The 22,214-nt window shown below is 41.8% G+C and overlaps 1 pseudogene across 5 annotated transcripts in view; it reads right to left on the reverse strand.

Annotated features, from left to right (window-relative positions):
• Nucleotides 1–4,295: 4,295 nt before the first annotated feature.
• Nucleotides 4,296–22,214, reverse strand: part of PDE4DIPP3 (PDE4DIP pseudogene 3) — a 28,902-nt pseudogene continuing 10,983 nt past the window's right edge. For 3 of the 5 annotated variants that reach the window (XR_001737706.2, XR_001737707.2, XR_001737708.2), the window contains 5 exons: nt 13,731–13,966; nt 12,583–12,634; nt 11,236–11,423; nt 7,229–7,451; nt 4,296–4,467 (listed from right to left, as the gene is read on the reverse strand). The product of XR_001737706.2 is annotated as a PDE4DIP pseudogene 3, transcript variant X1 (transcript). Of the gene's footprint in view, nt 4,468–7,228; nt 7,452–11,235; nt 11,424–12,582; nt 12,635–12,736; nt 12,862–13,730; nt 13,967–22,214 lie in introns of those variants that run through there. The other 2 variants (XR_007066540.1, XR_922031.3) reach the window with 2 other exon arrangements.

The following is a 22,214-nucleotide window of genomic DNA, read 5'->3' on the forward strand; positions in this document are numbered from 1 at the left end:
AGTAGTCCAGGTGTGGTGGCTCACACTTGTAATCCCTGCAGTTTGGGAGGCCAAGGTGGGTGGATCACTTGAGGTCAGGAGTTCGAAACCAGCCTGGCCAACATGGTGAAACTTCATCTCCACTAAAATACAAAAATTAGCTGGGCGTGGTGGTGGGCGCCTGTAATGCCAGCTACTCGGGAAGCTGAGGCAGGAGAATCACTTGAACCCAGGAAGCAGAGGCTGCAGTGAGCCAAGATCGCACCACTGAACTCAGCCTGGGACTCCATCAAAAAAAAAAAAAAAGGCATAGGGTGGCAAATTGGGAAAAAAAAAAAATCAAACTTTCCATGGCCTTTAAGAGAGACCTATCTTACATGTTATAGCCCCCAGGGGCTCAAAGTAAAGTGATAGAGATCTGTTATGCAAATGGAAAACAAGAAAGGTCAGGAGTTGCTATTCTTGTATCAAGTAAAACAGACTAAACCAACAAGAGTTAAAAAAAGAAAAAAGACAAAGAAGGGCATTACATAATCAGAAAGCATTCAATTCAACAAGAAGATTTAACTATCCTAAATATATATGCACCTAACATTGAAGCACCCAAATTTATAAAACAAATACAACTACACCTAAGCAAAGAAATAGACAGCCATGCTATACTAGTGGAGGACTTCAACATCCCACTGACAGCACTAGACAGATCACTGAGGCAGAAACCTAACAAGGAAACTTTGGACTTCCATTGGACTCTTGACCAAATGAACCTAATAGATGTCTATAGAATACTCTATCCAACAACCACAGAATATACATTGTTCTCATCTGTGCACAGAACATTCTCTAAGATTGACCACATACTCAGTCATAAAGCAAGTCTCAATAAATTTTTTAAAAAATGAAATTATATCAAGTATCTTCTCAGACAACAGTAGAATAAAAGCAGAAATCAATGCCAAGAGGAACTCTCAAAACCACACAAATACATGGAAACTAAACAACAGAATCATTTTTGGGTAAACAATAAAATTAAGGCAGAAATAAAAAAAAATTGAAACAAATGAAAGTAGAGACACAATGTGCCAAAAACTCTGGAATATAGAAAAGCAGTGTTAAGAGGAAAGTTTATAGCACTCAATACCTACCTTGAAAAGATAGAAAGATCTCAAATTAACAACATAATACCACACCTAAAGAACTAGGAAAAGAAGAAGAAACAAAACCCAAAGCTAGGAGAAGGAAAGAAATAACTAAGATCAGAGCAGAACTAAATGAAACAGAGATAAAAAAAAAAATACAAAGGATCAATGAAATGAAAAGTTGGTTATTTGAATGATTGATAGACCACTAGCTAGATTAACCAGGAAAAAAAGATCCAAATAAGCACAATCAGAAATTACAAAGGTGACATTACAACTCATATCACAGAAATACAAAAGATCCTCAGAGACTACTATGAGCATCTCTACATGCACAAACTAGAAAAACCTAGAAGAAATAGTTAAATTCCTGGAAGCACACAGCTTCTTAAGATTGAACCAGGAAGAAATTGAAATCCTGAACAGACCAATAATGAGTTATGTAATTGAATCAGTAATAAAAATTCTACTAATCTGAAAGAGCCCTGGACCAGACAGAATTTTACAGCTGAATTCCACCAGACGTGCAAAGAAGAGCTGGTACCAATCTTACTAAAACTATTCCAAAAAATTGGGGATGAGGGATTCCTAACTCATTCTATGAAACCAGTATCATCCTGATACCAAAATCTGGCAGGGACACAATAAAAAAAGAAAACTACAGGCCAATATCCCTGATGAACACAGATGCAAAAACTCTCAACAAAATACTAGCAAACTGAATCCAGCAGCACATCAAAAAGATAATTCATCATGATCATGTGGGCTTTATTCCTAGGATGCAAGGATGGTTCAACAGACGCAAAAAAAAAATGCTATTCACTGCATAAACAGAATTAAAAACAAAAACCATACTATTATCCCAATAGATGCAGAAAAAGCATTCAATAAAATGTTACATCCGTTGCATGATACACACCTTCAACAAACCAGGCATCAAAGGAACATAACTCAAAATAATAAGAGCCATCTATGACAAACCCATAGCCAATATCATACTGAATAGGCAAAAGTTGGAAGCATTCCCCCTAATAACTGGAACAAGACAAGGATGTCCACTCTCACCACTCCTATTCAACACAGTACTGGAAATCCTGGCCAGAGTAATCAGTCAGGAGAAATAAAAGCAATCCAAATAGGAAAAAGGGAAGTCAAATTATCTCTGTTCACCAAAGACATGATCCTCCATCTAGAAACCTCTAAAGATTCCTCCAAAATACTCCTAGACTTGAAAAACAAGTTCAGTAAAGTTTCGGGTTACAACATGAGCATACAAAAATCAATCGCATTTCTATACACTAAAAATGCTCAAGCTGACAGCCAAGTCAAGAACTTAATCCCATTTAAAATAGCCACACACACACACACACACACACACACACACACACACACACACAAATAAACAAAACACCTAGGAATATATTTAACCAAGGAGGTGAAAGATCTCTACTGGGAGAACTACAAAACACTGATGAAAGAAATAATAGACAACACAAACAAATGGGAAAACATTCCATGCTTGTGGACTGGAAGAATCAATATTGTTAAAATGACCATTCTATCCAAAGCAATCTAAAGATTCAACGCAATTCCTATCAAGTTACCAATGTCATTTTTTACAGAATTAAAAAAAAAAATTATAAAATTCTTATGGGGCTGGACATTGTGGCTCATACCTGTAATCCCAGCACTTTGGGAGGCTGAGGCAGGAGGATCACTTGAGGTCAGGAGTTCAAGGGCAGCCTGGCCAATACGGTGAAACCCCATCTCTACCAAAACACACAAAAGTTAGCAGGCGTGGTAGCACACACCTATAGTCCCAGCTAATTCAAGAGGCTGAGGTGGGAGAATCACTTGAACCCAGAGGCAGAGGTTGAAGTGAGCCGAGATCATGCCACTACACTCTAGCCTGGGTGACAGAGTGAGACCCTGTCTCAAAAAAAAAAAAAAAAAAAAAATCCCCATGGAACCAAAAAACGGCCCAAATAGTCAAGCAATCCAAAGCAAAAAGAACAAATCCGGAGGCATCACATTACCTAACTTCAAACTATACTACAAGGCTATAGCAACAAAAACAGCAAGGTACCGACACAAAAATAGACACATGAATCAATGGATAAGAATAGAGAACCCAGAAATAAAGTCACACACCTACAACCAACTGATCTTTAACAAAGTTGACAAAAATAAACAATGAGGAAAATGATACCCTATTTAATAAATGGTGCTGGGAAAACTGGCTAGCCAAATGCAGAAGAATGAAACTGGACCCCTACCTCCCACCATATACAAAAATTAATTCAGATGGTTTACAGACTTAAATATAGGACGTCAAACTATAAAAATGCTAGAAGAAAACCTAGGAAAACCTCTTCTTGACATTGGCCTATGACTAAGACCTCAAAAGCAAATGCAACAAAAACGAAAATTGACAAATGGGACTTAAACTTAAAAAGCTTCTGCACAGCAAAAGAAATAATCAACAGAGTAAACAGACAACCTACAGAATGGGAGAAAATATTTGAAAACTATGCACCTGACAAAGGACTAATATCCAGACTCTATAAGGAACTTAAATCAACAAGACAAAACCAAATAACCCTATTTAAAAAATGGGCAAAGGACATGGCTAGACACTTATCAAAAGAACACATACAAGCGGCCAACAAACATATGAAAAAATGCACATCACTAATCATCAGAGAAATGCAAATTAAAACTACAGTGAGATATCATCTCACAGTAGTCAGAATGGCTATATTCCAGGCTCGAGGCAAGCGTGCTCTTCACGAGTTCTGTCATTCTCTTGAGTGAAGCTCACCTGGTATGGTAAGTTGTCCTCATTTTAAAACATTCAGATTTTATTCTGCAATCCTTTCACATGTGACAGTTTTTCTGTTCTTCCTAAGCATGTAATGGAAGTCAAGGAATTCTACATCCTCACTATCTATTAATATTTCTTACCTTCCCACAGCAGTGAAATTCCCATTCTAGTCTTCTGAAACAGAGATAGCTAATAAAGAAAACTCATTTCTCCTTTAAGCTTTTCCACACATTTCAGACCATTCTGGTTTTATTCTTTTCTACACAAATTTTACTCTTTATAGGTGTTCAATAAATAAATATAAACACTAATTTTAAAAATAATTTATTAATTTGATCTCTTCATTTAAAGATAATATCCAATGCCTCCAAGTTCCCACCCAAGAATTCTGTTGGATAGGGCTGGAAAAGTTCTGGAGAACATTCTTCCAGACTCTCTAGGCATCATGTCACAGGATGTCCTCACCACAGCCAGAAGAGTGACTCTGAGTATATGAATGAGGGGCTACAGTGGACTGTGCAGTACCTAGGGAGGGAGAGACAGGGCTGCAATGAAGTCTGGAGGGATTTAGGAGATTCATTGATTGTACCAAACAAAAACTTAATTTCTTCTCTCCTATTCCGTACCCAGGTGAAAGTGGGAAAGACAGGAAGAGAGACACCAAGCTTTCTAGTTGACAGCTAGTGACTCTCTGATTATCTGCAAAGATTGGGAAAGGAACTTAAACATGACATGTAGATTTTCCAGAGATATTTACTCCTGGAGCCAGGAGTCTGCGAACATGTAGGTGGGATCTTTTAAGAAGCAGCCTTATCTAGATTGGGAATAAGCTATTATAGTTTTAGGCTGTGTGGATCTGGTCAACTTTTGTGCTGCCTACTTCTCTTTGCTTCTACAACTGGGCATCGCTGCAGAAAGGAAGAAATATGGAAGTGACTTCAGCTTTGATTTTTTCCTTCTGGAAGCCTGAAAACTCCAGTTTGCTTCCCTGAGCCCTTTTCCTGTTGCACAACTAGGGTGTGGACTACAGGTCCTACCCATGGAAGATGGAGGTAGATACTTCACAGGGAATAAAAACAACCCAGACAAGTCATACCTTTAGGTAACAGATACTTTCAAAGATGTACTTTCCTGCATCCATTAAAGTTTTAGTCTCAGCTAATCTGAAAACCTGAGGTCCTCCTGCACTGGGATAGCAGTGCAATATGGCTCAGGCTCAGGTTTTGCTGGGCACACCAGAGTAGGCAACACACTCTCATGTGCAGTGGCTTCAGGTATGGATCAGGGTCTTTCCCACTAATTGGCTTCAGTTATGATGTTGTAGGTCATCATTCTTCTGGCTTTAATATGAGAGAAGAAGGGATGGGGAAGAACTGGTCTCCAAGTGAGAGCATCCAGGGTGAAGAGTGTGGAAATAAGGGTCATTAGCACAAGAGAAGAGCCAGGTGATATCAAAGGCATGTAGTAATGGCATAAAGGTGGAACGTTGCTCTCATTCTGCTGAAGTGGGCACCATGGAAACCTTGGTGCTACCACTCGCCAGTCAGGCCACAAGCCCAAGAACAGCACCAGGCAGTATAAGGACATATAAGAATGACATCACTTCAGATAGTCCTGAGAATTAGACCTATCCCTGCTTGGGGCAAACCACTCAGTGGGAGCAATAGTACCCTTCTGCTTCCCTATCTGGGCTAATTGTAAGGAACAAGTGAAATCATGCACACCAATGTGCTTTAAACCGGTAAAACTCTGCCCCAAGAAGCTATGTGCCCTTTTGAGACTCCCTAGACGTGGACAGAAACATAAAATTTCTGCCTTTCTACCTTTTCCTTGGTCACCATTGCTAAGCACATGCTGCAGCCTCTCCCTCAGGCGGTCATTGAGACTGATGGACTCCTCCAGGCGCTGGCGCAGGTTCTGTATCTCAGCAAGATTCTTTTCCAGCAGGTCTGCCCCTACTGCAAACACCAAGACATAGGAGAGGTAGGAGGTAGGGAAGCCTGATCATCCCTGGGCAGCTGTGGGGCCTGCGTGGCATCTCTCTGCAAGATCCCTACCTATCTCTATCCTTCTGTCAGCTTCTTCCTCTCTCCTGGGCATTCAGGAAGCACCAGGCAACTTTACTTAAAAGTCCTGGGCTTTCAATCACAGGGTGGCCCCCTGTAAGGAAACACCACAGGCCTCCTCCCAGACAGAGACCACCAAGTACATCTAAGGGAGATGGACACAGGGTGAGAAACTGCTAAAGGCCTCTAGGCAGAACTGGCCTAGTAATGGGAAAGGCTGTCTACCTCCTTGGTATGGAAAACAATCCAGAGAATCTCCCTCTCTACCTCATCCCTCTCCCCGATGATGATCCCGACTCAACAGCCTTTGAGATTTCACTCACTCACAGACAGAAAGACCAAGGTAAGTGCATATGAAATTAAACCAGGCTGTGAATAATGAGTGATAGTGAATGTTCTCCTTTAACCAGTTTTGGCAAAGAGGAACATGGAAGAGCTTGGGAAGGTATCAGGATCTGAAGTGGGGGAACAGGAGAGAAGGGAACAATCTCCAAGGAAGGAAAAAGATGCACAGAGAGAGGAGGCTGAGAATAGGCTTCACCCACTGGGAGATTTTGCGTAGGGTCAGGCTTTTCTCTGAGAATTTAAAATGTCTTATTGTTACACTACCTGGGACACAGAAATGGAGCTGCTTCAAGCCATTCCTCTAAATAGCTGCACTCCTAGCTGCCGGGTGCCAGGATGTTTGGTTCCAAATCCAAAAGCAATATTTATGGGGGCAGGATTGGCACGTGGTTGTATGCACAGTGTGTGTGAAAGATGTGTGTGAAAGAGTGGAAAGAGTGTGTAGGGCTGGGTGACTCTGTAGAAATAGTTTCCCATCCGACAGTAGCTCCTGACCTAAGGAAGACCTTCCCCATGGAAATCTGAGCTTAGCATTCCAGGACAGTCTTAATCTAGGCCTAAGAAGGTTGTAGCACAGAGAGAAGGCAACATTTAAGTGTGAGGTAACTTATCCTCCTTGTAGAGCACCTCAGAATGTCCCTGACTTCTCCTACTCTCCTGCCCAGAGTGAGTTCCTAGGTAGGGTGGCTAGGAGAAGGCACTTTCAAAGAACAAGCACTGAGCTGGTTCTCACTGTCTGGCTGATCTACATATTGTCCTGTCATTTTTTATGAACCAGGTTCTAACAGAGGAACCAAAAAATCCTCTGGCCAGGAAAGGAATGTGTCATTCCTACCAATGGGCTCGATTTCACTAAATGCTCCTTTGTGTTTTACCAGAGGTTTCGGAGTTGGGTTGGTACAAAGAGGAGAAGGAGGCTAGGTCTCCAGATGCATTCATTTTTTGAGGCCTCATCTCTTCCCATGGGCCACTGCTACCGTGTTCTAGTGTCCTGCTCTGCTGGGCCAGTGCCGCTCGAAGGATGGAAGGGCTGGGCAGACCTGGTTCCTTGGTTGCTGGGCAAAGCAGCTGAATCAGCAGAAATGGCAGGGCTGGCATCTGTCCAGAAAGGAATGTGAGTGAGAAACCAACAGGGAAGTCATAAAAGAGTATTTTAAAGGTAATTATAGTGAGTTGAATAGTGTCCTCCAAAAATTCATTCAGTTCACTTGGAACTTCAGAATGTGATCTTATTTGTAAATGGGGTTTTTGTAGATATAATAAGTTAAGATGAGATGATACTGAATTGGGGGTATGTCTTAAATCCAACATGACTGATGTCCTTATGAGAGGAGAGGAGACACAGAGATAAAGAGACACACAGAGAAGGAGACCATGTAACAAGAGAGGCAGAGATTGGGGTGATGTGTCTACAACCCAGAAACCACCAGAAACTAGGAAGAGGCAAGGAAGGATCCTTCCCTGGAGTCTTCAGAGGGAGCATGGCCCTGCTGACTCCCTGATTTTAGACGTCTTCATCTCCAGAACTGTGAGAGAATACATTTCTGTTTTAAGACGCCCGGTTTGTGTTTTTTTGTTTTGGAAGCCCTCGAAAGCTAATAAAGCAATCCACGGAATGAAGACTAAGGCAGATGTCAGCAGACTCATTTCCCAAGGACTTCCCATTTCACCCTAAAGTAACTGGCATTTCTCAGCCTATGACATAAGCAGTAGTGTTAGTTGTAATATCTGAGCATCACAGCGCACATACAGGAAAAATATGGGGCCCCTCTCCTAGCTCCCTTTATGATTCCCAATGCTGGAATGATCCTGGGGAGGTACTTCAGAAATGTTTCTCCTAATAGCAGGACTCACAGCCAATCCTAGGAGTTCAGACAGTGAGGGGTGAAGCATTTTGTTGGTCTGTAAACAGGTGACTATTTATTCAACATTCTATGCCCTTGCCAGAAACACACCAGCTACTCCTTCCTGGGATTGTTCTACACTGAGGCTGTTGGAGGAGGAGGAGAAAATGGCCTCCACTTCTGGACAATGTGCAGAGAACCTAGAGAGTGTTGCTTCCACTCCTGGTGGTTCTCTCTCTGGCCTCGGCTGACTCTGGACCTGCAGTGAAGCTGAGGGGGTGTCTGTCTAAGGCAAGTGGTGATTTGGATTCCACCTAGAATGGCTTTTGACACTGCAAAAATAATTCTTATGTACAGCTCACATTGTCTGGCTCCTGTCCATAGAATAGCTAGTGTACTCTTGCATAGAGGATTGTAGAATCACAAAATACATGGCATCTTACAGCTCAATGATGCCATGAGAACATGGCCAGATCCTCTGGGCCCTTCATTACTGTCTCCCTTTGAGAGAAAAACCAAGCTGGGGTGGCAGGGCCATAATTCAGAGAAAAGTTTTAGAGTCTTTCCCTTTCGAGGATTATTATCAAGGGCTAAAGAATAGACAAGTTTCTCCTCTGAGCAGGTGGGAGTGAGGTTTCTGTTTGCCCTCAACAACATCACGTTCTTTTAGGAACTGTATATTTAAATCAGTATCCAGTAGGTCTCTCCTTCTCCAATTTATAAAATATCAGATACTAATTAGAATCACTGTGAGATAAAGAGTAACGACAACTATGTTAAGTCTTTAATAAATGCCTGACTTAAAGTAGGAACTCAATCAAAATGTGATTACCACCCCCTTTCAAACCTCCTTTATCTCAGAAAATCAGTTTACTCTCAACCATGGCCATAGGAAGCTCTAAGTTTTATCAGTAACAGTGATCAGTGTTTTAACGTTCCCTGGCCATACCACATGGGGAACATGCCCTACACTGCAGATGGAAAGCAACAGAGACTAGACTTTTGTGAAGGAAATTTGGCCTCACAATGTAGCTGTCATGCCAGTGCACTACAGGTTGACTGTTCTAGAAATTTTGGTTCAAAAACCAAAGAGGAAGTGGTGATAAACAGTTGCCCCTGTGAAAGGACAGTGACTTCAAGTGGGAAAGAGAAGGGCTTCGATCTCCCTCAGGAAAGACAGTTGTGGCAAAAAGTAAAGCTGGTGCTCTCCAGAAGCATCATTCCAGAGGCCACACCTCACTGCAGGCAGTGGCAGGGATTGCAGGTAAGGGAAGCATGGGCTTGCCCTTCTGCCATCTCTTGGGGCAGTGCTGAGGTTGAAACAAGTGCCTCTGGGCAACTGAATCAAGGATGCACATAAAAGTCCCATTGGCCCCTTGGAATAGGTGATGTACATATCAAGGGCAGCTCATCTATTTACAAATTCTTAGATAGAAGTGTAATATGTGTAAGGTCTTGTCCCATCTTCAGAGGCCAGAACTCTGCTGGGTGCACAGAGCAGAAAAAGTGGAATGAGAAAAACCCTGGCTCCAGAAGCCTAGCAAAAGAGGTGCTGAGAAGGAGTGAGCACCCTTTGTACGCAGCCCCTGACTTCTCAGGCTGCAGAGTGAAATGCTCACAACCTGAGCTTTGAGTCAGGTAGACTCAAAGTGTATGTTACCCCAAGCTGCTTTGTCTTCAGTAAGTTCCTTAACTTTGCTGAGCCTCAGTGTCCTCCACTATAAAAGCAGAACACCACTACCTATTTGAGGGGATCACTGTGTCAATTAAATGAGGAAATATATGTATAGTGGTCAATATTGTGAGCATAATAGGTGCTCAATCAATGAGAAGTTCCTGTCTTTCCTTGGCTGCTATAATCTTAGAGGAAACATTTTGCCGCTTTGCTCCTCATTGTGAAATGAGAAACAGGAATAGTACCAGATCAAAACCCATTATGGGCCGGGCATGGTGGCTCATGCCTGTAAGCCCAGCACTTTGGGAGGCTGAGGCAGTTGGATCACCTGAGGTCAGGAGTTTGAGACCAGCCTGGCCAACACGGTCAAACCCCATCTCTACTAAAAATATAAAAATTAGCCTGGCGTGGTGGCAAGCACCTGTAATCCCAGCTACTTGGGAGGCTGAGGTAGGAGAATCACTTGAACCTGGGAGGCAGAGGTTGCAGTAAGCTGAGATTGTGCCACTGCACTCTAGTCTGGGCGACAACAGCAAAACTCCGTCTCAAAAACAACAACAACAACTAAAAACCATTATGGCTCACTCATTACTTAAAATTGCCAATTTAGAAAAAAACACCAGATACAGCCAGGGACTAAAAATAATTTCTTGGTATTGTCCACATTAGGATATGATTCATACTGGCCTAAAACTTCAAACACTTTTCTCAAGAGGAAAATTAAAGAGAAAACTGAGCAGGAGAAAAATGAAAGTCTGGTTTAAAACTTAATCTCCTCTTCCCGTCTCTATCAAGGCTATCCCAAGGACCCTCTCAGGGAAATTCTCAGGAGGGACACGCTGGTTGGTGATGGACTCAGCTTGAACCTCACAGCATGGCCCCATTCACTGATAGTTTAGAGGGTGTTGCAGCAAACTTATTAGGATGATGGATGGGATCTGTAAATGCATAAATGATAAAGATGATTTAGTGATGAACAAAAAATAGGAACTGTGGCTGTTTACCCCAGGGATTCCAGGATTAGGTGCACAATGTTAGCAACACTCATGTCCCTAGTTTGAAAGATGACATAACTGTGTGCAGTGAAGAGGAACTATTTGCCCCCTTTCTCCCCTTCCCAACCCATGCCCCCCAAGACCAACACCATGTATGTGCCAGAGGGGATCTAGTGACTGATGACATGTGGGACTGGGAATGGAGAAAAGCTACCTGAAAGCCTTGGGGCTTATGCTCAGCACTGAGTCCTGGAGCTGTGCCCGACCAGCTACATCACGGTGGATCTACAGGGCCCGGCTGCAAAGATGCCACCTCTTGGCCTAGACAATGCATGAGCCCCAAAAACTGGAGCCATGTGGCTACTCACTGACTACAGTCACTGAAGGATGCACTTCCTCCTTGTCAAGCTGTGGAGACGTGCTGCTCAGGGAGTGATGTGGGGTAGACCGGGTGTGGTTGCTGCACCAGATCTGGGGCTGAGTCTGGGACCGGGCATCCCACTTGGTCTCTAGGACTTCTGTCACTTTACTCATATTATGCATCTTCCTCAAGATACTAGTGGGGTAAGAAAGAAGAAAAAATAAAGGTCACCTAATGCCACAGCTGTACTAATCTGGAGGCTCACAGGAGATGTAAAGGGGAGGTCAAGAGGATCATTCCTTCAGAGGAGAAGCCAAACAAATCATTTCTGTTTCAGGATAGAGTATGGAGGGAAGGCAGGGACAGAGAGAGCAACAGTTGTCTGGTGCATTGGCTACAAACATCCTGAGGAAAAACGAAGCCGTAATGGGCCCCTTAAATAACACTCATGATTCCTTCACAAAACAGCCAGAGACCCATAAGAGTTCAACTCCAGGTATGGGTATGGCGGTACATGCCTGTAATCCCAGCAATTTGGGAGGCCAAGGCAGGAGAATTGCTTGAGTCCAGGAATTCAAGACCAAACTGAGAAACATAGTGAGACCCTCTGTCTACAAAAAATAAAAATAAAAAATGAGCTGGGTGTGGTGGTGTGCACCTGTAGTCCCAACTATTTAGGAGGCTGAGGAGGATCACTTGAGCCCAGGAGGTCAAGGATGCAGTGAGCAGTGATCGTGCCACTGCATTCCAGCCTGGGCAACAGAGCAAGACCTCATCTCAAAAATAAAATTTTAAAAATGTTAAAAAAAAAAGAATTCAACTCATTCTGTGAACATAATTTTTAAAATAGTATTTGCTATAGGCCATTTAAAACAGATTCCCCAGGCAATGTAGCCTCACTGGTGTCTTGCAGTTTCTAGATCTCCTTCCCTAAGTATAGAGACACAGTATAAACTTTTGTTTGCAAGGAAAATTTGTAGCTGTTTTACATCTTCCAGCACTCCTTGGGTCACCCTTGAAGAAATCAGATATAATCTTACTCTGGTCTTTAAATAAGGGAAACCAGAGGTGATCCCTGGAGGTTCAGAAGACTCCTAAGACCCAGATAGGTTAGAGCAGCTCTATGTTACTAAATTGGTGAATTAATTGGTGAAAATAAAAGAATAATATATTTTTTAAAAAATTTTAAAAATGAGACTGCCTTATCCCTAAGGATACATAATGGTTTAATGGATAAATAAGCTATTTGTTTTTTACTGGCCATGTATGTTCCTGTTTCTTTGAGCTTCTGGCTCTTGCTTCTGGATCCTTCACCAGATTACATCTTCGACAGCCCCTGAAAATTTGGAGTTACCTGAGAGTCGAAGACACCTGTCCTACTTGATTCTTCTTACTTGTACAGTCATCTGAGAACAAAATTCAAAAAGGCCAGTCATGCTTTAAGCAGGTCTCATTTCCCAGACTGCAAACAAACATGGAGGTCTATCTGGGAGCAGAGACTTGACTACCTGATGCTTGCCTTGATTCCAGGATACTCTGAATTTTCTCAGATCTTGGGTTGAGTCTTTAGAGAGCTTGCCTGGCAGGCTTTCCTGAGCCCACCATGAAGGTCATCATCTCCACTTGCTTTGCCCTGAGTCACAGCAAAAAGCTAAAAATGTCTTTATTCCCACATATCATGGAACACATATCCACTCCAGCCAAAGCCTCCAAGTCCTGGCACAAGGCCAGCACCCAAACCCATGGCTGTGTGTTCCACCATAGCTTTCATGCAGAACTTCCTCCCTTCTCCAAGGAGATGATAGACATCCGTGTCCCACCTACCATCAGGAGACAGCACAGTGAACTCAAGCCTTCTGCTACTATGGGCCCTTGGGTTCTCAAGGGGGAATTTCATGTAAAATGCTCCTGAAACAGCTAATTATCTCACCACCGTGTACTAGTACACACAGTGCCTGAACCATGCCAAAGTCAGCATGATTCTTTATCATTTTTTTGAAGTGCGCCGATTAATGTTACTTATTTAATCCCTAGAACAATCATGCAACATTCAAGGGCTGGAATTATTTGACTTAATTTTTTAGGTAGAGAAACAGAAATCAAAATAAATATTAACCTGTCCAGAGCTGGTAAGGAACACATATAAGCTAGAGGTAGGGTTTTTGGATTCCCAGTTCAGGGCCCTTCACAAAAACCAGCTGCCCCTGCTCCTTCTGTCTTTCTGCCAATTAGTTTCAGATGAATACCATCATCCCTGGGGATGCCTCCTGCCCTAACAGTCATATTCCATGAGGGATGGAGGTGCTGGTGATCATCATGGCATCCTCAACCCTTCTTCTTGGAGCTCCTCTCCAGCCAGTCCTGACTCTGTCATGGTCATAAGGTGGTGATTACAAAGCAGGACACCAGGTTGAAAAGTGACATGTGAATGGGGGTGGGATCCTGTGAACTTAGGACCTTGGGAGAGACTGAAAATCTTCCTAAGCTCTGCGGCCAACTTACCTGTGCTGAATTTTCTGGCAAGGCTCTCTGCCAGCTGGCTTCCTTTGGCCAGCTGCTTGCAGTAGTGCTGCTCCATATAGTGGTCAATGTTATTGCTCTGGAGTAGCTCCTCAAAGGTCTTTAGTGTGTTCTTGACATGCTGGATGAGAAGAACAGAGGCCACTCTCCCAAGCTTCATCTTCTGCCGTAGGTGGGTTAACTCTTGAGCCTGATCCTGAATCAAGGAATGATACTTCCTAAAGTAGAAAAAAAGAAGTAAAGGTAGATAGGAATAACTGATAGGTTATAGCAATTTAGGAGAAGGAACTTGAGAGTATCACCAAAGGAGGCCACACACTGAATTCTAGCATATGTTTAGTGTCCTGAATATGGTAAAAGGAATGAAGGAAATGAAAACAATCTTTATGTGAAAGATCCCTTCTAAGATTGTCATTTTCCCTGCCACTTGCTAAAGAAGAAAAATCACTTGATCATATTAATAGATGAAGAAAAAGCATTTGACAAAATTCAACACTCATTCATCATAAAAACTCTCAACAAAGTGGGAATAGAGGAGACCTTCCTCAACTTGATAAAGAACATCTATAAAAACTCTACACTAATGTCATACTAGAAACTAGAAGCTTTCTCACTAACATCAACAATAAGGCAAGAATTTCCCCGCTTACCACTTCTTTTCACCATCATACTGGAAATCCTAGCTAATGCAGTAAGATAAGCAAAGGAAATAAACGGTATACAGATTAGAAAAGATGAACTAAAACTGTCTTTGTTCACACATGATGCAGTTATTGTATTATAGAAAATCTCCAACATGGTGAAACCCTGTCTTTACAAAAAATACAAAAATTAGCCGGGCGTGGTGGCATGCGCTTGTAATCCAGCTACTTGGGAGGCTGAGGAAGGAGAATTGCTTGAATCCGGGAAGCAAAGGTTGCAGTGAGATGACATCGTGCCACTCTGCACTCCACCCTGAGTGACAAAGTGAGACACTGACTCAAAAAAAAAAAAAAAAAAGGCCGGGCGCGGTGGCTCATGCCCGTAACTCCAGCACTTAGGGAGGTCGAGGTGGGCGGATCATGAGGTCAGGAGATCGAGACCATCCTGGCTAACACAGCGAAACCCCGTCTCTACTAAAAAAACAAAATAGTAGCCAGGCTACTCAGGAGGCTGAGGCAGGAGAATGGCTTGAACCCAGGAGGCGGAGCTTGCAGTGAGCCGAGATTGAGCCACTACACTCCAACCTGGGCGACACAGTGAGACTCCATCTCAAAAACAAAAAGAAAAGAAAAGAAAATCTGAAAGAATTGACAACAAAAATCTCCTGGAACTAGTAAGTGATTATGTCAAGGTAAAATCTAACAAAACATGTACAAGATCTGTATGAGGAAAACTGCAAAACTCTGTTGAGAGAGATCAAAGAAGCACTAAATACACAGAGAGATATTCTGTGTTCATGGACAGGAAGACTAAATATTGTCAAGATGTCAGTTCTTCCCAACTTGATCTAAAGATTCAATGCAATACCAATCAAAATCTCAGCAAATAAATTTTGTGAATATCAACTAACAGATGCTAAGGTGTACATAGAGAGGCAAAAGACCCAGAATGGCCAACACAATATTGAAAAGGAACAGAGGGCTGATATGACCTGACTTCAAGACTTACTGTAAAGCTACAGTAATCAGGACAGTATAAGATTTGTGAAAGAATAGACAAATAAGTCAGCGGAACAGAATAGAGATTCCAGAAGACTCCAAAATATAGCAGATTGATCTTTGACAAGGGGACAAGGGCAATACAATGGAGAAAAGATAGTATTTTCAAAAAATGGTGCTGGAACAGCGGGACATCCACATGCAAAAAAAGTGAATCTAGACACAGACTTCACATTCTTCATGAAAACTTACTCAAAATGGATCATAGGCCTAAATGTAAAACATAAAATGATAAAAAAAAAAAAACCCTAAAAGATAACAACAGCTGAAAATCTAGATGACCTTGGGTTTGGTGATGACTTTTTATTTATTTTATTTATTGATCTAAAGATTCAATGCAATACCAATTTTAATTTAGAGACAGAGTCTCTAAATAAATTAATTATTTTATTTATTTGTTGGAGGGCATGATCATGGCTCACTGAAGCATTCCTTGGGCGTGATCATGGTGTGATTATGGCTCACTGCAGCCAAACTCTTGGGCTCAAGTGATCCTCTTGCCTCAGCCTTCCAAAGTGCTGGGATTACAGGTGTGAGCCACCGAGCCCAGCTATATGATTACTTTTCAGATATAACACAAAAGGCATGATCCACAAAAGAAATAATTGATAATCTGGACTTCATTAAAATTAAAAACTTCTGCTCTGCAAAAGGCACATCAAGAGAATGAGAAGACAACACACTGGGAGAAAATATTTGCAAAAGACATATCTGGTAAAGGACTATTAAGCCAAATACACAAAGAACTCTTAAACTCAACAATAAGAAAATGAACCACACAATAAAAAATGGGCAAAAAACCCTGAACAGACACCTCACCAAAGATGATGGCAAATAAGAATATGAAAAGATGCTCAACATCATATGTCATTAGGGAATTGCAAATTAAAACAACAAGATACCACTCTACACCTATTAGAATGGCAAAATCCAGAACACTGATAACACCAAATGCTGGTAAGGATGTGGAACAACAGATATTCTCATTCCTTGCTGGTGGGAATGCAAAATAGTACAGCCACTTTGGAAGACAGTTTGGCATTTTCTTGTGAAACTAAACATACTCTTACCAAATGACCTAACCATCTGCTCCTCAGTATTTTCCCAAGCGAGCTGAAAACTTAAGTTCACACAAAAACCTGCACATGATGTTTATAGCAGCTCTATTCATAACTGCAAAAACTTGGAAGCAACCAAGATGTCCTTCAGTAGGTGAATGGATAAATTTTGGTACATGCAGTCAATGGAATATTATTTGGTACTAAAAAGAAATGAGTTATGAAGCCATGAAAAGACATGAAAGAACCTTAAGTGTGTAAGTGAAAGAAGCCAACCTAAAAAAGCTACATACTGTATGACTCTGACTATATGACACTATGGAATAGGTAAAACAGTGGAGACAGTAAAAAGATCAGTGGTTGCCAGGTGTTAGGAGGGAAAGGAGAATGAATAGGCAGAGCACAGAGAATTTTTAGGGCAGGGAATAGTCATTCTTTATTACAATGGTGGATACATGCCATTATACATTTATACTTGTGTCAAAACCTATAGAATATACACCACCAAGAATGAACCCCACTGTAAACTGTGGACTTTGGGTGATGATGAGTCAATGTAGGTTCATCAGTTGTACCAAATGTTATCACTCGGGGGCAAGATGTTGATAGTGAGGGAGGCTGTGTCCGTGCAGGGGTAGGGGGCATATGGGAACTCTCTGTTACTTTCCACTCAATTTTGCTGTGAACTTAAAGCTGCTCTTAAAAAGTCCATTAAAAAAAAGAATGATCACAGAAGTATAATTTTTAAAAATATATTTGATGAAGTGGGTGTAGTGTAGCCTTTGTGAATCGAGAGCACAGGATTCCAATGTTATCTCTGCCAGAGGCTATTATGCAACTTTGATCAAATGACTATCTCTTAGGGCCTAAGTGTTCTCAGTTCTAAAATGAGGTAATGAGACTAACTGACTCTAGAGTTTTTTGGGTGTTTTGTTTTGTTTTGTTTTGTTTTGTTTTGTTTTGTCTGAGATGGAATCTTGCTCTGTCATCCAGGCTGAAGTGCAGTGGCGCTATCTTGGCTCACTGCAATCTCCACCTCCCGGGTTCAAGCAATTCTCCTGCCTCAGCCTCCCAAGTAGCTGGGATTACAGGTGCCCACCACCATGCCCAGCTAATTTTTGTATTTTTAGTAGAGACGGGGTTTCACCATGTTGGCCAGGCTGTCTCCAATTCCTGACCTCAAGTGATCTGCCCACCTCAGCCTCCCAAAGTGCTGAGATTACAGGCGTGAGCCACTGCGCCTGGCCTAGCGTTATTTTAGCCCTAACTAACATTATTCTCTGGGTCAGTGAAATTTAAGTGGAATATATTGGGCAGTGACCTAATGGAGCATGAAGCAGGATTTGAATCACTTCCAAAGCTGTGCACCAACCACTTAGGCAAATTAGTGATTTCAGTAACTTAGTATTTCAGTAACTGGCGCTCACAGGCAAATGCGTAATGGATTAACCCCATATTATTTAAATGCTTCCAAAAAGCTATAGGAAAATGGCCATGAAAAACAAACTGACAAATTTAGCCAACAGGCCACTATTTGACAATTCTGCAAGCTTATTTTTAAAATTCAGCTTATCAAAACTGCCATTCCAGAAGCCAGGGACCTGAGTTTCCATAGAGGATGGAGTAGAATGGAGGGGCCTCTGTATAAATCTACCTCCTCGGGAACTGGGACAGTTCAGCATTCACCAGAGTAACATATGAAGAAACAGGAGATTCCTACATGCTCCTGGGGATCCAGAAGAGAGACCACTCACATGACTGGAAGATTTCCAGCTCAGGTAACCACAAAGGCCATATATTTGGTGAATACATGCAATGTTAGTTAGAATAAAACCAAATTTCTCTGAATAATATAAAGTCATTACTAATAAAACTTTTATAGATTTTTCTCTGAAGAAATTTCCAGGAAGGTGTTAAGAGAAAGCCCTACAATTAAGGTATGGAGGCTGGCTGCAGGCCCTGAAAGCTACTCTGACGAGCAATGACTTAATGCTGATAGTGGGAAGTCTCTTGCCCACTGCAGGATACAGAGAATTCTTCCTCAACCCGAGGCTTCTGCTCATTCACTCCCTTCTCAGCAGGTCCCTTCTTCTCTGAGGGCTGATGCATCCCAGCCTTCTGCTGGGACATTTTCTCATGAAGAGCTCTCTTACAGCCGTCTTTGAAAGGAAGGACAGAGAAGAAAGATGTCTATGTCTTCACAATGGCCAGGCTTTTCTCCAAAACTACCTAAAGCAATTGAAACAAAATTATGGCTTACAGAGGTTAGATTATTAGTGGAGATCCCGTAGGACGATAGAATCTCAAGAGCAGAGCCTACCAGGAAGTAGAGTGAAGCCTACAACTTCCTCAGCCATGAGGACCCAACAATCCACTGGGTAAAAGAAAGATGCAGCAAGTGCTGGGGTGGGGTCGGGGTGGGTGCTGTTATGAGAAGGAAGGGGAGGTCCCACAGGTGTTTAGAAGAAAAAACAGGCAATAAATGAATGAAAACAAATGGGGTTTAAACTAAGCTAAGGGATGAGTATTTTTGTTTCTTATAGCTGAGATAAGGTTCTTATGAAGTTCCCAGGGAATGTCCCTTCAGAGGTCAGGAAGCATTTTGCTTCCACAAGTTTTGAGAGTCATGAAGGCAGGAACACATTTTGAGATGCCAGAGCTCAAATCCCATGTCACTGGGACATCAACAATAGTGCTATGGGGAAGACTCAGGGTGCCAGCTCTTGAGTCACAATCACAGAATTAGAATGTGGAAGTAGCTACAGAACCCAAGGAAGCCCTGCCTTCTGATAGCCACACTCAATGCAAGGCTGCGTATTTCACCCTGGAGGTCTCTATAACAGGGGAGGCCACCCCCTCAATAGCCAGCTTTTTTACCCTTTTGCTTATGTTGTCAACCAATTTCTAACCACAGCAAAATAACCTAAGTATACCTCTCCTTGAAAACATCAAAACATTTTCTCAGCAGCTTTTACTTTCTTGAAGACAATTTCAGTAAAAACAATTCTTGTGGCTTTTCCTAAATGATTTTTTTTTTAACTTCTAGTGATTCTTACTCTTCGTTTTTAGGAACTCTCCAGGTTTTCACTTCCTACATTCTTTCAAGAGTATAGTGACTAAAACTGGAGAATAATCATTTAAGTCTGACTAATAAATTTAGCCTCATGTTGTATTACCTTTTAATACATAATAAATAATATATCCCAATGCGATACTTGCTTCCTTTCCCTTGCAGTAGCAACGTGTAGGGGTTTCATTTAATATGAGGTCGATTTTAACCTTCCAAACTCCCATTCCACCCACCTTTGCTTGCACTCATGGGAAGGCTCAGTCTATATCTGGTTTGCCCACATTCCTAGGCTATAGACCTCTAGGACTCCCAATTTGAGAGGCGCCATTTTTTTGGAGGGTAGTGAATTTTGATTTCTGTCTCCTTTGCATCCTTCCCAATGAAAACTGCTTTCAGCCACTCTCTGCTAGCCTCTCACCAGCACAGAGCTGAATTCACAAATGCCTTGAGGGGAAAACCTTTACCAAGTGTTCAGTTCACATCTCAATTCATTCTAGAATCTTGGCTTTTCAAGTCAAAATACCTGGACAGCTCCACATGTCTACCCACTCCCCACCCCCATGAGGTTACTTAAAGTGCTGCTGTTTTCTCTGGTTTTTAACCACTGCCCTCTCCCCAGCTTCTCAGCCTCTTGTCCCTTGCCAAGAACTAGCAAATACCCTGAGGGGGAAAAATTGTTTCATTCCAATGATCTTCTTTCTCTCTCTCTCTCTCCACCCGCTTTCTGTAGCTGGCCCTGTGGGTCCTAGCTTTTCAAAGACTTCAAACAGAATTCCTTTAAACCAGATTTTATCTACTTCTTTTCGAAGGGAGTGCTGGTTTGCCACAAAACTCCATCGTAACTGAAAGAGGAAATCTTCTACAAATTCCAGGTAAATCAAATTTTCCTACCTTGATTTCTGAAGAAAACAAAAAAAAAGAGAAGAGGCCATTGGTAGGTATATACTTGCATTTTTCTTGTAATACTTGCGTAAGTCTGAATGGGTATTAAAGGCTCTTGCTAGAATCATGTGCCAAAGATTGTCTACCATGACCTAAACAATCAGGCCTGTCCAAGGTCCAAGAATTTGATCAGGTTGGATCCAGTCCTCTGGTGCACTAACAGAGATCCTGTTGGAGGATAGAATCCTGCTGTAGGATTCTACGTCTGTACTTTGAGTAGACACTTCAAGTAACCAGTTTTTCAGACACCTGGCCACTAATATGGGGAGAAGAGGTCAAAAAAACCATTGAATATTTCTAATTTATTTTAGGGAATGTTAAAATTTCTCACTGGTACAGTTAGAAATGAAAACAAAGACATAATAATAATAGTAATAATAATAATAACTGTTTCAAGAGCATTATTATGTGACTGGCATTGTTTCTAAGTGCTTTACTGTGTAGTAACCTATTTAGTCCACATAACGACCCTACAAGATAGTGTTGATTTTTTTGTTTGGTGGTTGTTGTTGTTGTTGTTGTTGTTGTTGTTTGAGATGGAGTCTCTCTCTGTCATCCAGGCTGGAGTGCAGTGGTGTGATCTCAGCTCACTGCAACCTCTGCCTCCCGGGTTCAAGCGATTCTCCTGCCTCAGCCTCCTGAACAGCTGGATCACAGGCCCCACAACCATGCCCAGCTAATTATTGCATTTTTAGTAGAGGCAGGGTGGTTTCACCATGTCAGTCAGGCTGGTCTCAAACTCCCGATCTCAGGTGATCCACCTACCTTGGCCTCCCAAAGTGCTGGAATTCCAGGCTGAGCCACCCCGCGCAGCCGATAGTGTTGATTATTACAACCCCTTGTTGCAGATGAGAACATTGCACTGAAAGGCTGAGCTTACCTTTCCAAGGTCCCATCATCTCTATGAGAGTGAGAGCCAGGACTCATCCAGACCCTTGCTCTGAGCCATTAGGCTTGGTGGTAACTAAGAAGATCTCACTAAGATGCGCATTCCCTCCTTCTTGCTCAATCTCCAAGATTTCGAGGACAAAATGGAAATTAAAAGTAAGGCCTACAAGATGGCTATTATTTTAAAAAGAAGGAAAGAAAATTATCAGTGTTGGTGATGATGTGGAAAAATTGAAACCCCTGTGCACTGTTGTTTGGAATGTATTAGGTTGGTGCAAAAGTAACTGCGGTTTTTGTCATTACTTTTAATGGCAAAAATCGCAATTACTTTTGCACCAACCTAATAAAATGGTACAGCCACTGTGGAAACCCATATGGTGGTTCCTCAAAATATTAAAAATAATTATCACATGATCCAACAAATTTACTTCTGGCTATATACTCAAAAGAACTGAAAGCAAGGATTCAAAGAGATATTTGTGCACCTACATCAATAGCAGTATTACAATAGCTAAAGAAGGGAAACAACCCAAGTGTCCAACAACAGGTAAATGAATAAACAAAATGTGGCAAATACATGCAATGGAATATTATTCAGCCTTAAAAAAGAAAAGAAATTCTGACACATGCTACAACATAGATGAACATGAGGATATTATGCAAAATGAAATAAACCAGTCACAAAAGGAAAAAATACTATAGAATTCTGCTTATATGAAGTACCTAGAGTAGTCAAATTCATAGAGACAGGAAATAATGGTGGTTGTGCCAGGGGCTAGGGAGGGAAGAATGGGAAATTAATGGGTAT

Source organism: Homo sapiens, chromosome 1 (assembly GCF_000001405.40).
Source record: "Homo sapiens chromosome 1, GRCh38.p14 Primary Assembly".
Classification (NCBI taxonomy): domain Eukaryota; kingdom Metazoa; phylum Chordata; class Mammalia; order Primates; family Hominidae; genus Homo; species Homo sapiens.